Source organism: Homo sapiens, chromosome 1 (assembly GCF_000001405.40).
Source record: "Homo sapiens chromosome 1, GRCh38.p14 Primary Assembly".
NCBI lineage: Eukaryota > Metazoa > Chordata > Mammalia > Primates > Hominidae > Homo > Homo sapiens.
In genome coordinates this window covers 17685816-17701941 of record NC_000001.11, presented here as the reverse complement: position 1 = coordinate 17701941, position 16126 = coordinate 17685816, and the positions used below count along the sequence as shown (strand labels likewise).

Here is a 16126-nt window from a genome sequence, read left to right as displayed (position 1 = left end):
GGACTGCTCAGATGCTGGATGAGGACAGCCTCTGCTTCCCTCCCACCTTTGGAGTCCATGTCTCGGGGCCAGAAGTGCCCAGAGAACAACCCCCACCTCCATCTGAGGGATGGGGATGTCAGGCCTTGACCTCCCCAGGCCTGAGCACAGAGACAGGAACAGAGGCCTTTGGCAGTAACCCAGCATGGCAGGCTGGGCTCCCCACGGGGTGGGGTTGGGGCAACCTGTCACCAGCCGGAGATTCTCAATCAGCCGCTGCTCAGGATTCCTGCTGGGAGACCGGCCTGGCTCACAGCTGCCTCCTGATAACTGGGCTTGTCTGCAGCCTCGGCCTGCTCACCAGGGGTAGAGAAAGTGATTCTCCCCCTTGGGCAAGGGCAAGGGGATGAAGGCCCATGAACTGATAAACTCTGGGCCCTCTGAGCTGTGGCTTGCATGGCTGGGGCATCTGTCACGGCCCCTCCTTCCCTCCACCGAATCACTGGGGCCTGAGAACCACCCAGGACCCCGCTGCTCACATGCTCCTCTCCCAGACCCTCCCTCCGCATCCTCAGGCTTCCCCGCCACCACTTCTGCCCACATACCTCTCGTAAGGGCACAGAAGGCCTCCGTGTGGCTAAATCCAAGGTAGGCCTCAGGCTCCTCCTTAACCTCAGCAGCATTCAGCACAGATCACCCCCTCCCCTTCCAACCCTCACCCTGCCCTTCCGGTCTTCCACCTTCATCCGGGCATCTCAGCCTCCCCCGTGCTTCCTGATCAGCTCCTGGACCTCCCGACACTGGCCTTCCCTGGACTCTGTCCTCACACCTCCTCCGTCTACTCTGCTCCCTTGGAGGCTGCATCCAGGCTCAGGCACCCCTGGCATGGACCTCTCTGCTGACTCCAAATTCACACAGTCAACTGTCCTCCCTACGTCTCTGCTCGGATGCTCAAAAGCAACTTAAATGTAGCCGATCCAAACCCCATTCCCGCTCTTCCTGTGGAAAAGCTGCCCCTCACAGCCACCCTGCCAGGGAAGCTGGCAGCTCTGACCTTCCAGTCGCCAGGCCAGACCTCAGAGGCATGCTTGACTCCTCTCTTTCCTTCCCAGCCCATCTATCTGCAAACCCAGTGGGCTCTGGGACATCAGAATCCACCCGGAAGCTGACCGCTCTCTATTGCTGCCCCCCACCTTGCAAACCTGGCTGACTGCAACAGCTCTCAACAAGGGGACTCCTGGCTCCCACACTGCTGTCCCCCTCTCCATGGATTATTCTTAATTTAGCAGCCAAACGTGATTGTTTGAAAACATCAGACAGACAGTGTCATTCTTCTGCTCGAAACCCTCCAGTGATTTCCCACTGCCCACTGCCTCCCCTCCCCCGCCCGCACCTGCTCCAGCCACACTCCTGCCCCCACACTTTGCTCCTGCACTTGCCCTCAGCCCGAAATGTTCTACCACCCGATGTCTGCTCCACCTTCAGGTCTTAGCTCGGACGTCATCTCCTCAGTGAGGCCTCTTGACCACCCTCTTTGACATCATGAGCCCCCTCCCCAGCCCTTCCCATCCCCCTTCTCCAGAGCACAAATATCATCTGACATATTTTTCTCCCGGTCTGTTCCCTCCTGACCCTGCCAGTAGAATGGACAACGAGGTGTGCCTGGGATTTGTCTTTTTCACTACGCCCTACCCAGTGTCTACTTGAAAACGGGTCCAGGCACGTAATCGGCGTTCAATGAATACTGAATGAATGATGGTCCGTTCCCATGGCAGGGTCTCCCTGAGACACAGATTAAGGCACTTGCCTGTTAAGGCAACTCTGCTCTGTTTGTCTCCAGAGTTTTGCTCTGGGGGGCAAGTAGTCTGGTAGTTAAGAGCCGTCTTGGTGGCAGACAGACCACAGTCCCGGGCCTGACTTTTAGGCTCTGAGGCTTCCTAGGCAGGTTGCTTAGATCCCTGAGCCTCAGACCCCTCACCTACAAAACGAGGCAAACAAAAGCAGCCTCAGAGAGCAGTTGTACCGACGAAAGGAGCTCAGGCACCCGGAGCGCTCTGGGTATTATTACTCTTATCAATATCTAAGGCCAGGCCTCCACTCACATGTGATGCACGTCCTCAGTGGGTCTCAGGAGCCATTCGCGGCGCCCCCGACCCTCCCTCGCTCTGTTGTCGGAGGCATGGGAGATGAGCTGGTGACTGATGTGATAATTTCACTGAAGTAGCAAAGTCAGTCGTTTTCTCCGTGACGTGATTTAACGGGCTCCATTCGATCTCCCAGGTCCCTTTTAGCTGAGCGATCTGTAGGTCTAGGATCTAACAGGCCCACGGAGATCCCAGATGCCAGCTCCAGCACCAGAGGAGACTCCTCAGTAAGAACCACTGGCCTCAAATCGTTTGGAGCGAGGATATAAGGAACCATCACCAAAAATGCCACCGGAGGGCTGTTCCAGATGCTTTCTGTGGTTCTGGTACCTTGAACTCTGTGACACATCATCCCCTCTGTTCTAGAGATATGGAAATGGAGGGACGTGCTGGGAGCCACGGAGGGACGTGCTGGGAGCCACACAGACGCGTTTTGGTGGTGCTGGACTTGATCACAGGCCTGCCAGACCCTAGAGTCCAGGCTTACTCCTTGTCCCAGGCAGCCTCGACTCACTGGTCTCTGTCTCAGGAAGTCTTGGTTGACATTTGATTGATGAGATAAACACACCCCCTGGGAGTCCCATCCAGAGAGAGTATTTATTCAATAACCCACTTGTGCAATAAAAATGGAACTAGCGTACTTTATTCTCTTCCAAGAGAGGTGGACAGGGCAGTGATGGTTCTTTTGATACAAAATGGGATCCTGAGGCCCAAAGGAGGTGGACATGTCTGAGCCGTAGTCAGTGTAGGAGCCAGACCTTCAGGTGTACTGGTTCCTCTGGACCAGCTTCCTTTCTCCCCTTCCTGGGGACCCACACTGGCTACCTCCCTCTGGGAATAGCCAACCTCTGTCCACCCTCCACCTGAGCACGGGCTGCTCCTCTATCCCCCTTCCTCCTCCGCAGCACCCTCGATCTCCCCAAGCCTTCGCTCGCTGGTGTTTATGCTTGCCTTCCCCGCTACAACATGCACTTCCTGTGGGCATGGACGGCTGCAGTCTTGTCCACATAGCCCAGTGCCCAGCAAATAGCAGGAACTCAAGGGGTTTGCAAAACGAATGAATGAATGACTTCTCTAGTGGGCGAGAACCTATCATGAGGTTAGAACCCGGCTGGAATGTCCACTCCTTGGTGGCTTTTCCACTGGGTTCCCAGAACTTCAGTGGAAAGATCTCAATGCAAGTACCGGTGGGTGGTGGGTAGACAGATGACAGAGAGGTAGAGGGTGGAGAGATGGAGGAAACACTTCCCTTTTGGGTGGCGGCTTTTGGTTTTGATTTTCTTTCCTGCAAGCAGCTCTAGAAATCTGAGGACGAACTGCGACAGAAGAGAGGAGCCAGGGCCAGAGGCAGCCCCACCCGCCCATCCCACCTGCAGCCTGGGCTCTGCTCCTGCAGCTGATGGACCTCACCTGAAGCCCACCCTGTCCTCCCTCTGACCCCAAGTCCTGGGACATGGCTGCCAGCCTGCAGAGAAGCCCCTCATCTTCCCCTCGCTTCTGGCTTGCACTGTTAGACACCAAGGCCTTCTGCCCCCATGCTACTCCAGACCTGGGGTGAACCAGTCTTTTTTCCAAAACATATTCACAAAAGAAGCTCCCAGAGCCCCTTCTGGAGCAGAAGTGAGCTTTCTTCTATAGCAGAAATGGTCATATCTGTGCCGTCTCATCCTTCACCACTCACCACTCAAGCCACATCTGAAATGTGGCTACGGTGACTGAGAGATTGAATGTTTGATTTTTCATTAATTTGAAAATTAATTAGCCACCTGTGGCTAATGGTGACCAGATTGGACTGTGAAGTTCTAGAGCTGATTCCCGTAGCAGCTCCACCCTCCCACCAAGCCTAAGAGTGGCTCCTGGGTCCCGAATAAACCCTCTCTACCAATAGCTGCTCTCTCTATCTCTTTCCCATCATGCTTTAAAAAACCACAACAAAACCTCAATCCAAGTCCAGATGTAACTCTTGTCTTTTATTCCAGCATCTCCCAGAGCTCCAATATGTACAGACTTTATTTATACACATATAATATACACCATATATACTTATTTATAGATATTCACACACCAGCCCACACACTCGCACACACTCACACGCACACACCCTTCCAGGAGGGGCGTGTGGCTGCCTTGGAGTCCCGCTAGGGCCCAAACAAGTGATACTGGGCTTGCCAGGCAGTTGTGAGGTTTTGTGTTTTTTGCTTTTAAAAAGAAGGCCATTTCCTCCAGATGTGTCCTCCCTCTCCCCAAGCCCTAAAACTCCTCCCCAAAACACTCTGAAAAAAATTTTTTTAAAACAAGAGGTTTTCCTTTGCTCTGCCCAAGTAGTTTCTGGAGAGTCCAGGCCCATCCACAAGTCCCGTGCAGGTCCTAGAGCACGAGAGCCGGGCGTGGCCTTGGTCAGGCCTGCAGCTGTGCCCTCTGAGGGGAGAGGGGAGGCGCTATAGCATCAAGGGCACCTGCCAGATGAGGAGGGTGCTGTCCGTCTCCCCACACGGGGCCTGCCTCCCACTGCTGCCCAGAGCGCTGCCAAAGTTGCGGTAGCCCTGCCCGCCGGAGATGATGGCCACAGAGCAAATCTCCTTGCGGTGGGCGTCGCGGGCGCAGGGCCGGCTGCGCACCCAGATGTCGGGGTCGTCGGCCATCTCGTAAATGGAGCCGTCCTCCTCGCTGTGCTCCAAAGCTGCGCCATCAGCAGGCGCCGGCTCCCGCATGGAGAGCAGCGGGCCCGGGAGGTGTGCGGTGGAGCGCAGGCGGTACTGCAAGAGGATGCCCTTCTTGCGGGTCAGCTCTCGGCCCACGTGGCTATCGGGCATGGGCTCGTGTGCCTGCCCGTCTGGCTTGTCCTCCTCAGCCCGGGGCCCCTCAGCCTCCTCCTGGTCACTCCGCAGGATGTCAGGGGCCAGGATGCTGGTAGCCACAGCCAGGAAGGCCACAGGCCCACAGTGCCCGTTGAGTGAGACCATGCCTTTCCCTGCAGAAAATGGGGCGAGAGAGAAAGGGGCCCAAAGGCCCAGCGCATTAAGGGAAGCACCTGAGTCTCTCTCCTGGAGAACATTCTGGGTGGGTATTTGGGGGGGTCACTTCTGTCTATGTTGGCACCTCCCCCGAAGGCCACAGGCTCTGGCTATCCCGTGCTCCTGCACAACTTCCTCAGGGGAGTGGAACAGAAACCACCTTATACACCACACGGGGGAGCCTCAGTGTGAAATTCCAAGAATTTCCTGAGCCTTTGCCAAGCAGCTCCTCTGCCTAGAAATCCTTTCCTGTCTACTTGATTCTGCAACTCTTTCAGCAAGGCCCAGCTCACACTCCTCACTGTGAATCCCTCCTGAATTCATGCATGGGGAGCTGCTCGCCCCAGTCTCTGTGTCCCCAGCCCCCGGAGCACCCTCATCCCAGCACCTGTCACCCGAGCTATGATGACCCCCAGGAGACCATCAGCTTGTTGAGAGCAGGGTCTCTGCCCGATTTCATCCCTGCATCCCAGGATTCTACCTGGAAATAGACCCTCCACAAATGCCCCCTGGATGGACAAAATGCCCTATTTGATGAAACCTTGAAAATAGAAAATCTCAGAATTTAGAAGCAACTTTTTTTTTTTTTTTTGAGATGGTGTCTCACTCTGTCCCCCAGGCTGGAGTGCAATGGCGCAATCTCGGCTCACTGCAACCTCCACCTCCCGGGTTCAAGAAATTCTCTTGCCTCAGCTTCCCAAGTAACTGGGATTACAGGCGCACACCGCCATGCCCAGCTAATTTTTTATTTTTATTTTTTTTTATTTTTTAGTAGAGATGGGGTTTCACTGTGTTGCCCAGGCTGGTCTCAAACTCCTGAGCTCAGGCAATCCACCCACCTCGGCCTCCCAAAGTGCTAGGATTACAGGTGTGAGCCACCGCGCCCAGCCAAAGCAATTCTTCTTTATCAGAAGGACTTGAGGTCTGCGCAGGGAGCCAGCCCACCCCCAGGGCTTCCTATTGGCCCTGCTCCCTTGCTGGAAAAGACCACAGTCATCATTCTCAGGGTGGTGGAGGGGGACCCGGAGCTCCAGGCATCCAAGTGTGGGGGTCTTCTCTGATCCTGCCCTTGTTGTCCTGGGCCCAGTAGTGCAGATCAGAGCAGACCTTCCTCTGATCTATGTGAACACATTCATTTGCACATGGACCCCACGAGCAGGCCGGGCCTGGCCCCAGAAGCACTCAGTTATTTCTTTCTCTGGAGCCTGGACATCTTGAAACTGCTATGGGAAGCAGCAGAAAGGGCCAGTGGAGCCCCTGCCATTAGGCAGGTGTCTCAGCCAGGCCCCAAGCCACTCTTGTGTCCATCTGCCAGATTAGGAAACTGACACTCAGAAAGGTGGGAGACTGGGGCCAGGACGATTCAGTTCTACTGGCCACCATGCCACCTGAGATGAGAGGAAGCTGGAGACTGGAACCCCATCCCTATACCAATGAGGGCATAATACACCCTCCCCGCCAAGCCCCACTGGCCACCTGCAGCTGACCCCCTGGTCCTGCCAACACCAGCTCCCAAAGCCTCACCTGTGATCTTGGGGATGCCTTCCAGCCGAGGCACGGGCAGCAGGACGATGACACCCTGGTCAGTGCCCACCCAGAGCAGACCCTGGCAGATCAGGAGGCTGGTGACACACAAGTGCTTCTGGCCTGCAGAAAGAGAGGGCGGCTGAGCAGTGCCCTCCTGGGGAGACAGCATGGGCTCTGGGTACCACCACGAGATGAGGGCCTGGCACAGCGGGCTCCTCCCCTGAAACCAGCAAGAAGTTGGGCGGTGGGGTGGGGAAGAGCTGGGGCTTTGGAGGCTGACCTGCCTGGGGTCTGGCCACGAGGTCCTGCAGCTGAGCACTCCCCTAACCAGCCTCAGTTTCCGCCTGTGTAAAGTGGGGCTGCCATACGGATGCATTGGGGGAACACCACAGGCACAGCGCCTGGTCTGTGTGCGCTCTCAATACACGGCGGCCAGGTCATCCGGCACAAAGGGTTGTCCAAGGGCAATCCATGCAGGGATCCAGCCAGCCAGCTACGAGCAAAACCAGGGAAGACTGGGGAGGTGCAAGCTTCTCATCGGTGTTGGTGCAGATGGAAGGCATAAGTAGGGCCGGGTGGGGCTCGAGAGGCATCGAGGTGGCTCTGCTGCAGCCCCTCAGGGCCTGCCCGTGTGGGTGCTTCTTCAGATGAGGTCACAGCACACCCTGCAGGCCCTGGGCCCAAGAGTGAAGCACAAAACTCGCTGGTGGGAAGCAGCATGTTTCTGATGCCAGTCCAGATTCATTCTTTTTAGCTCTCCCCTCAGCTCTGTCTCTTCATTTTAGCAAGAATAGCAATGTCAGAGAGGGCGTGGGGGCAGGCCCCTGCTCCTAACAGAGAGGATGCCAGGTGTGGGCTGCCCAGCACGGTGGCTGAGAACAGGGCTCCAGAGCCAGGTGCGGGATTCACACCTTGGCTCTGCCACTCTCCAGCTACATGACCTGGGGCCCATCCTAAACTCCTCTGGGCCATGGTGTCCTCACTTGTAAAAGGGGCCAAGGATAATACAGTCACATGTCACATAATGACCTTTCAGTCAACAACAGACCATGTATACAATGGCAGTCCTATAGGACCGTATTTTTACTGTCCCTTTTTGATGTTTGGAACACAGATACTCTCCATTGGGTTAAATGAATGAACGTAAAACAACCCCGTGCCTGCACATGGCAAAATGGGCGCTACCTGCTGTCATCGCTGCTGCTGCACTGTTGCCAACAATTCTAGCAATGGGAATGGGCACAAGGGAGAGGCTGGGAGTGCAGGGGGCAGGAGGCTTTCTGAGGGGGCTGAGAGGCGTGGGGTACAGGCTGCCGGCTCAGGGACAGACCCTCCACCATGTCACACACAGGGTGGACGGCGCTGCCACACTTCCTTAGGCTTCACTGGGCAGCTGCCTTTCTAAAGGGCTGTCTCCTTCTTGCCCTGATCCTGCTGCCCTCTGGGAGAGGCTTAGGCTGCATTCCAGAAGGTTTCCACTTTCTGCTGCTTCTGGTCCATGGATCACATTTGAAAAAACACAGCTTTGGAGTTTCCAAAGCACTCGTATACCTGCTCTCATCTGACACAAGGCTTGCAACAGCCAAGACGTATGCAAGACACAAATGCCGGCCCCATTTTCCAGGCACGGATGTTAAGGCTCAAAGAGGTCCCCCACCTGGTGAGTGCAGGGTGGGGTGGAGTTGAGGTCTGCTGCTCACCACTGCCCAGTGCTTCCATCACCTCTCCCTCCTTGGGCATGACACTTCAACTCCATACATGTGGGTGTATGTGCTTCCTCTGCAGTGCAGGCACAGAGAGAAATGGTGTGGCTCTCTCACCCCAAAAGGCAGGTTACCGACTCGGGGTACACCCAGCATTGCCTAACACAGTGTGCCATCCCATCACCAATCCATTTACCTCCCAGATGCCTACTGCATGGCAGACCCCACACTAGGTGCTGGGGGCACAGCTGGGACCATGTACATAGAGTCCTGTCTTAAGGAGCAGACACTCTAGAACTTTCTTTGATGATGGACATGTTCCCTACCGTGCTGTCCAATTTGACAGCCATCAGCCACATGTGGCTTCCGAGCACTGGAAATATAGCTAGTGGCACTGAGGGACTGAATGTGTTATTTTCTTTCATTGTAATAATGGCTACTGTATTAGACACAGAGGTGTAGAGAGGAGATACAGGAAACAAAAACAGAAACAAGGGATGTAAACACCAGGCAGAGGATTGAAACAGGGCGACAGGGCAGAGCCAGTGGAGGATTCCCGGGTCTTCAGGCCTCCCTCTACTTCCTGGAAGGATAGGGAGGCAGGCGTGAGGCTGCTGGGTGACAAGGCGGAGGTGGCCACACCAAGACCTGAGCCAAGGCCCAGGAGACAGGGCATGCAAAGGCCCTGTGACAGGAATGAGCTCATCCAGTCCGCCGAGCAGAGTGAAGCCAGTGCACCTGGGGCACAGAAGGCAGACTCCAGATGGTCAGAAGAGGGGATGGGTCAGGGCCAGGACTGGGGCTCATAATTCTGGCTGCAGTGAAAAGCTACCGGAAGGCCTAGGCAGGGGAGTAGCGTGACGTGATTTGAGTGGAACGTTCTAGCTACAGTTGTGGAGGGTGGGAGTGGGAGGAGCAAGGAGCCCAGCAGGGGCTCCCGCAGCTGCCCAGGTGGGAAGGGCGGCGGCAGTGAGGTGAGGAGAGCCCAACCTGTTTTAGACCTGTTTGGAGCAGAGCGACAGAGCTGCTGGGAGAGGGGAGCAGAGGTGGAGCAGAGGAAGGAACCCAGGATAGCACTGAGGCTCCTCTGCCTGGAGCAGCTGGGTGCATAGCAGTGCCATGGCCTGGGATGGCAAAGGAGCCGGTTTGGGGGTTGAAGCCCAGAGCTCCTGGTTGGATGTGTGGTCTGAGACACAAATTAGACACACCCGAATGGAGCTATCAAGCAGGCGGTGGGATTCGAGTCTGGCAACATGATGCAAACTCAAAAAATCACATTCATAGCGTCCCTGCAATGTGGAAATGCAAACTAGGCTGAAAAAAAAAGCCCACTAGTGACTTACAGCCTTGGCCAACAGGGGCTATTTCACAAACAGTACCTGGGTGTCTGTGGAGCTGGGACTATTTCCCACACCTAAATCCATTCCAAAAGTGAAGGCTCAGAACTATGATGGCAGCCTCCGGTCCAGGGTCAGGCCCCCAGCCCTCCTGGAGTTGGCCAACATGGGAGGCTCAGGCCATGAGCCCCTTTCAACAGCTGACTTCTCTTCTTAGCCCTGGTCAAGGTCTGTGATGACCTTATTTTGCTATTTGTTTACTTATGACAAGCTTTGTGAGGGCAGTGACTTATCTGTGTGCTCATGGTTAACTCCCCAACTCCTGGCCAAGTACCTTGGCTCATGGTAGACTCTCAAGAAGTATCTGTGAGTGAATGAGTAAATGGATGGATGGATGGACAGATGGATGGATGAAGGAAAGGAGAAAACTTGGACAAATCATTTCTCTCATCCATCAATGAGTACTACAAACCTGCCTTGCTCAATTTTATAATTATTAGAAATATTAAATATATACACACATATATATATACATATAATATATATACACAATTGAGCACAGCTCTTAGCCCATAGTATACAATCAATAAATAGAGGCTATTAGGATAATGTTTATGATTATTAAAAGGATCTGGACGCTAATGTCTTAAGATCAGCTCCATCAGAGCCATAAACCCACAAGAACAATTAAGCCAAGAGAGGGGACAGTGGTGAATTTTTCATTCCACAAGCCTCATCGCCTCCCTCTCCAAGACCCCCAGGGCATGGAGACCGGCAGGAGACCATTTCCTGCTGCCCCTGCATCCTCCCAGCCCCCACTGGACGGCAAAACCGACAAATGGGAGGAAGGCAAGCAAGAAACCGAAAGAGATGCCGGAATTGAGAAATGGCTTCATCTGCAGACCTCATTCTGGGGCCTTCCCCCTCCCCCTCCACCTCAAGGAAAAGAGCAAGACACTTCACAAACAGTCCGAAAGAAAAAAAAAATTCTAATGGTGAATAAATATTTTATCACAGAGACTTAATGCGGCAGTGTTCAACTCACCCAAGCCATCTATCTGGAGATATACAACTTTAAAAAGCTCAGGCTCTTGGAGAACATTTTATTAATGACCTGTCTGGTTAAAAGGAGGAGGGAGTTTAGGTTAAAAAATGCATTAATACCAGTCGAGTATGCGAGTGGAAGAAAGGGGTCAGGGGAAGGAAGTGCAATAAATTGTTAACACACACTAAAAAAATCCACACTTAGTGTAGGAACAAATTTATTACTAATTATGCAATTATTTCATTTGCTGGTGTGGGGGAAGAAAAAAATACTTAAAAGCCTTTTAAAAATATCTCTAATAAAGAACTTAAGAATCCTGCTGTGTTGCGCTTCTGCAAAGGCACAACGTGGGGTGGATCTGCAGCTGCCCCCCACGCTCTGGTCCCCAGCATGGTGGCTGGGGCTGGCTCTGGCTCAGCTTGGAGCTCAGGGAGCCACTCTCAGATATGAGGGGTCAGGAGGAACTGGTCTGGCAGGGCCCCAGGCTCCACTGGGTTACTGATTGGGAAAGTTCAGGCCTGAGGGAAGAGGGAACCTTCGGGAAACCCCACACTCTGGAACCTCGGCCTACATCCAGCCTTCTCCAGGGTTCAGCCTCAGGGAGGTCTGCCAAAAGAGCGGTCACCTCTGTCTGCACTGATGCAGCTGATGCGACAGGAATGGCACACTGACCTGGAGGGTCTTAGGAGGGGCAAGGAGCCCTCGCAGGAGATGCAGGGCGGGTATGCCGTAAAGACGATGACGGCAAAATGTCACCATCATGGACCGCTGCTGGCTTGAGACGGGGACTGTGGGCACTGTCCTCACACTGTCTCACACAACACCTACACCTGCCCTGCGGGGTAGGGACCGAGGATGGGAAGCTGGTGCTCTGAGTGCTCCCAGTCAGAGCTGGAAGACAGGGGAGGGATTCCAGGAGGAATTCTGGCTCCAGGCTCTGGTGTACCCCACCCAGCATGGCCAAGCTGACTCAAATCTCAGCCCTTTGTTATATGAATGGGGAAACTGAGGCCCAGGACAGGGACACAACCGCCCAAGGCTACACAGTAAGTGTGAGGAAGCTCTAACGAGAGTCCGTGGGGCTGCTCCTGGCTCTGTCCATATCAGCACTGCGATAGCAGACCAGTCATTTCACCTCCTGAGCCCCAGTTTACCTGGCCCTCAAATCATCATCATAACAACGAATGCCCTTCCTTCCTTAAAGGGTAACTGCAAAGAGTAAGTAAGACAACGGGCGTGAAGGTGCATGTGAAACACAGTAAAGTCAGGGTTGTACAGGCAGGAGTGGCTGTTCTAACTACAGCCAGGTCTGTCCACACATCCTGCCTCCCACCACTTGATCAGCTTGACTCTCTCTCACTCTCCTCTGCGCAGACAAGACGAGATTCCAAAGATTTTTAAAAGCCCATGAGATTATCCATTTCTTCATTGTTCCACTAACTTGAAATAATTTAGCTATCAGAGGAAATGTGGAGATAGTTTTGTGATACAGAGACATTTTTATCGTAGTTAAAATGGATTGAACCTGTATAATGGCTAAATACTATGAAACAAGAAAGGGAGGAAGGAGGGAGGGAGGAAGGAGGGAGGGAGGGAAGAAGAGAGGGAGGGAGGGAAGGAGGGAGGGAGGGAAGAAGAGAGGGAGGGAAGGAGGGAGGGAGGGAAGAAGAGAGGGAGGGAGGGAGGCAGGGAGGGAGAGAGGGAGGTAGGGGAAGGAGGCAGGGAGGGAGGGAGAGAGGGGGAAGGAGGCAACCCAAACACAGGTCCCATCAAGCCTCTCACACACCCCAGGAGAACGTGAGTGAAGGGTTCAGTCTCATCGGGCACCTGCCACCCTGCCGGCCCAGGACAGCCACCTTCCCAGCCCACCAGCATTTATCCTCATAACAGTCCCTGAGCTGGGACCTACATCCCATCTTACAGAGGGATGAGGGGCTCCGGGAGATTAAGGGACTTGTCTGATACTGTGTGTTGGCCAAGCCAGGCCTCAAGCCAACTCTCTTTCTCCATTACATACAGTAGGATGCTGGACTGAGTCCGGCCTGATGTGACTGTGGTCCTGCCTCTGGTCTACTGCATGACCACGAGCAAGACGCCCGGCCTGCTGAACCAATCTCAGTGTCTGCATCTGTAATGTGGGGATAATCCCCAGCTCGCAGGGTTAGGGTGAAATGAGATCCTGCACATAAGCACTTGGGGCCTCATCACCTCAGGCCCGGGCAGGGTGGCAGTTATTACACCATTGTGACTGCCGTGGACTGTGTTGTTAGTAACCACCATCCCCGTGTGATCAGTTCAGACTCAAGGACCATCGTGACTGGCTAGAGGGAAGCAGAAACCAGGGTGATTTCCAGGGCCTCGGGAGGGAGTTAGGGACCGGGCCCCTGGGGTAGGCAGAGGTCCCTAAGGCTCCTGCAGTGCTGGCTAACATGCCTGCCCTCAGTATGGCCCCAGAAGACAGGATGCTCAACCCTGCTGGGCATATGGCCACTCCCAGCCTCTGCCATGGCCCATCTGCCAGGTCCTGTGACAATCAGCTCCAGGCCCCCACCTGCCACACGGGCTGTGTTTCCCTGGCCCGAGGGCCCTTTGGCTCTCCCAGCTGCTGAACCCAGCCCTGCCTGGGGCACTGGGACAAGACAGAGCCACTGCACCCTCCCACACTGGCCGCAGGTCAGTCTCTCTGGGGGAAGCTGGGCCAAGGAGGGAAGCAAGGTTAGCTGATGCCTGCTGGCCCCGTGGTCTGCTCTGAAGCCAGCTGGGGTGAGGATGGGCATGGTGCCTGCATCTTGAGCAGCAGATGGCAACGAAAGGCTGAGAGCCAATTCCATGGAGGCCTTGGGGGGCATTTGGTGAGCTCCAGCCTTAATCCTTCGCCGCCATTCCCCTCCACCACCAATCCTGTCCACTTCATCTACACACAGCTACGCAGGAGGGGCCCCAGCCACAGCAGATGCCATCCAAACCCACAGACTAGAAGGCCCAAGAGGGGAATTTGCCTTTCTCAGAAAAAACTCCAAGGACAGAGACCACCCGTTGGCTTTCTCACTTTCCCATCACCTCATCCTGCAGGGCATTTGAGGCAGAATTGGGTGTTTGGTCAACCTGGGCAGTGGGGCAGAATGAAAGGCCTGGGTTCCTGCCCAGCTTGGCCTTTCCTTAGCAGCTGCCTGACTTTGGAGGGTCCAGTGGGCTGGGGGCCATTTCCTGAGCGCCCCAGGCTGCTGTGATGCGGTGGCTGGGCACAGTGACAGGCAGGGGCTTTGAGATGACAGTCCTAGGTGTGAATCCCAACCCCACCACTTCCTGGGGAGTGCCCCAAATTAAAGCCCCAGTTTTCAGGGCTGATGAGGGAAAATGGGATGGGCTGCCCAGGTCACACCACTACCTGGCCGTGGAAGGTGCTCTGTGACTGTCCGCTCCCCCGTGCCCGAGGCAGCCTCACCTGGCAGGAGGAAGGTGGTCCTGGTGGCGATGTTGATCTCTTGCAGATGCTCCAGGGTCTCAGTGTGGAAGAGGCGGATGGAGGTGCCGGAGGAGAAGGCCATCCAGACGCCGCTGCCCGCCTTCACCATGTGTGTCACGCTCACTGCCTCGTCCTGGTGCGCCTCGAAGCTTTGCTGTGGCACAAAGGGAGGAGTGTCGATACTGGCTGGGCCTGCCAGCTGAGCCTCCCTACAAGCCCCCACCCCTGGGCCAGCCATTCTCACATTCTTCAAAAGCTCAAGCTACTCAGGGAACATTAGAAGCCCAGCTATGAGGTTGGCCAAAGTTTAACAACTGGAATCTTAGAAGCCCAGCTGTGCTGTGTTGGCCAAAGTTTAACAACTGGCAGGGAATCCTGGTTTGCAGCGTTTGCCAATTTCCATGGTGTAAACATTCTAACGTGGCCAGTTGCAAACTACCAGCATGATATCACCGAGTGAGGAGCAGGAAAGACATGCACACGCTCACTCACGAGCAGACAGGACCAGGCATGGTCCCAGTGGCCCCTCAGAGCTTTACCTTACGGAAGGGAAAGATGGAGCCGAAAATCATGAAAGAAGTTGTGGTTTATGTAAATGATTTAAAGTGACAAAGGCAACCGAGAGAATGACCGGGGAAGGAACGGGGGTAATATGGGCCAAATCCTCATCATTCACAGCAAGGAGACAACAGGTGATGTCCCAAAATTGATACATCAAGAAGCAGCAGAGTGAACAAGTTTGGGTCCTGAGGAAAGTGCCAGGTGGATTAAAAAAAGAACAGGTGAAAAGCATTCTCTTCCAAAAAGCAGGACTGAGATGTGGAGTGTGGACGAGCCTTTCAGGATAAACCACTCCATGCTTTTTTTTTTTTTCTTGCAAGTATATGTACCATTTTGATCTTAAAACAAATAAAAACTTTTTTAAAAAAGAAGATACAAATGATCAAGCTTCCCATCCACTGCAGGAGAAAGTCCAAGTTCCTTAGCTCAGCATTCGGGGCCCCAGTGCTGCCCCCACTCCTGCCCTTCCTTGTGGGCTCCCTACGTTTCAGGCCAGCCAATGCTCAAGATGTACCACACAGCCGCACCCCTGCCCTGGCCATGACTTGCACACAGCACGCACTGCCCCCCCGAACTGTCCTCCTCCAACATCTGAAGACTCCACTTCAGAGTGGCGTCCTCAGTCCAGGAGGCAGGCCCCACCCCGCCACGGACCAGCCACTTCCTTCTGAATGGCGTGCTCTGCTGTCTAGCCTGGAATACCTACACCATTCTGTGGTTCTACTTGGCCACTTCCCACATAAGACTGTGGACTCCAAGGACAGAGCCTGGGCCTCATGCCCTTTAGTGCCTGTCACCTGCTTGGCACAGGGCCCAGCACAGTAAAATTTGGTCAAAAAAATGAATGGATGGACACTTGAATTCTATCTACAACACTCAGATGTCACTAACTCAGGCACAGCAGACTAGAAACAACCCAAATCCCCAAGCCATGGGGACAGTCAGGTAACTCTGTGTATCCAGCTCTGTACTGTCCTCCCTGCATTTAAACTCACACTTACAGACACTGCATGACAGACACAGAAAAATGTGAATGCTACAGAAAATGCAAAAAAAAAAGAAAGAAAGAAAGAAAGAAAGAAAGAAAAAAAACAAAACAAAACAAACACACCAAAAGCTGGGGGAAGAAGCGGGACAGGGGAGGAAGAGCTGCACCCTGAGGCTTACTCCAGGAGCAGGACGGGATGATTTTCCTCTTTTCCAGTTTTCTGGCTTTTCTCCTTTTTCCATAAAGAATTTGTCCTGGGAGGAAGCCCAAGACTGCAGGAGGATCCTGGACGGGGCATTTATTTGAGATCCAACCTGCTATTAAATCTGACTTCCTTGGCAGCTTCACAGGCCCAGGCCTCA

At 54.2% G+C, this 16126-nt stretch overlaps 1 protein-coding gene across 35 annotated transcripts in view, besides 4 other annotated features; it reads right to left on the bottom strand.

Annotated features, from left to right (window-relative positions):
• Positions 565–1164: an enhancer, noted in NCBI's record as "H3K4me1 hESC enhancer chr1:18027273-18027872 (GRCh37/hg19 assembly coordinates)". NCBI's record gives its function as "activates a minimal SCP1, AML or CMV promoter by ChIP-STARR-seq in naive H9 embryonic stem cells {active_cell/tissue: H9 hESC(naive)}" and the evidence as "EXISTENCE:reporter gene assay evidence [ECO:0000049][PMID:30033119]".
• ARHGEF10L (Rho guanine nucleotide exchange factor 10 like) overlaps positions 4067–16126 on the bottom strand; it is a 184441-nt gene continuing 172381 nt past the window's right edge. For 19 of the 35 annotated variants that reach the window (XM_024448061.2, XM_006710728.1, XM_006710731.1 and 16 more), the window contains 3 exons: positions 14195–14369; positions 6662–6784; positions 4067–5094 (listed from right to left, as the gene is read on the bottom strand). In XM_024448061.2, the coding sequence (XP_024303829.1) occupies positions 4562–5094; positions 6662–6784; positions 14195–14369 (831 nt within the window). In that variant the 3' untranslated portion in view covers positions 4067–4561. The other 16 variants (NR_137287.2, NR_137288.2, NM_001438940.1 and 13 more) reach the window with 3 other exon arrangements.
• Positions 11571–12303: an enhancer, noted in NCBI's record as "H3K27ac-H3K4me1 hESC enhancer chr1:18016134-18016866 (GRCh37/hg19 assembly coordinates)". NCBI's record gives its function as "activates a minimal SCP1, AML or CMV promoter by ChIP-STARR-seq in naive H9 embryonic stem cells {active_cell/tissue: H9 hESC(naive)}" and the evidence as "EXISTENCE:reporter gene assay evidence [ECO:0000049][PMID:30033119]".
• Positions 14830–15330: an enhancer, noted in NCBI's record as "H3K4me1 hESC enhancer chr1:18013107-18013607 (GRCh37/hg19 assembly coordinates)". NCBI's record gives its function as "activates a minimal SCP1, AML or CMV promoter by ChIP-STARR-seq in primed H9 embryonic stem cells {active_cell/tissue: H9 hESC(primed)}" and the evidence as "EXISTENCE:reporter gene assay evidence [ECO:0000049][PMID:30033119]".
• Positions 15331–15831: an enhancer, noted in NCBI's record as "H3K4me1 hESC enhancer chr1:18012606-18013106 (GRCh37/hg19 assembly coordinates)". NCBI's record gives its function as "activates a minimal SCP1, AML or CMV promoter by ChIP-STARR-seq in primed H9 embryonic stem cells {active_cell/tissue: H9 hESC(primed)}" and the evidence as "EXISTENCE:reporter gene assay evidence [ECO:0000049][PMID:30033119]".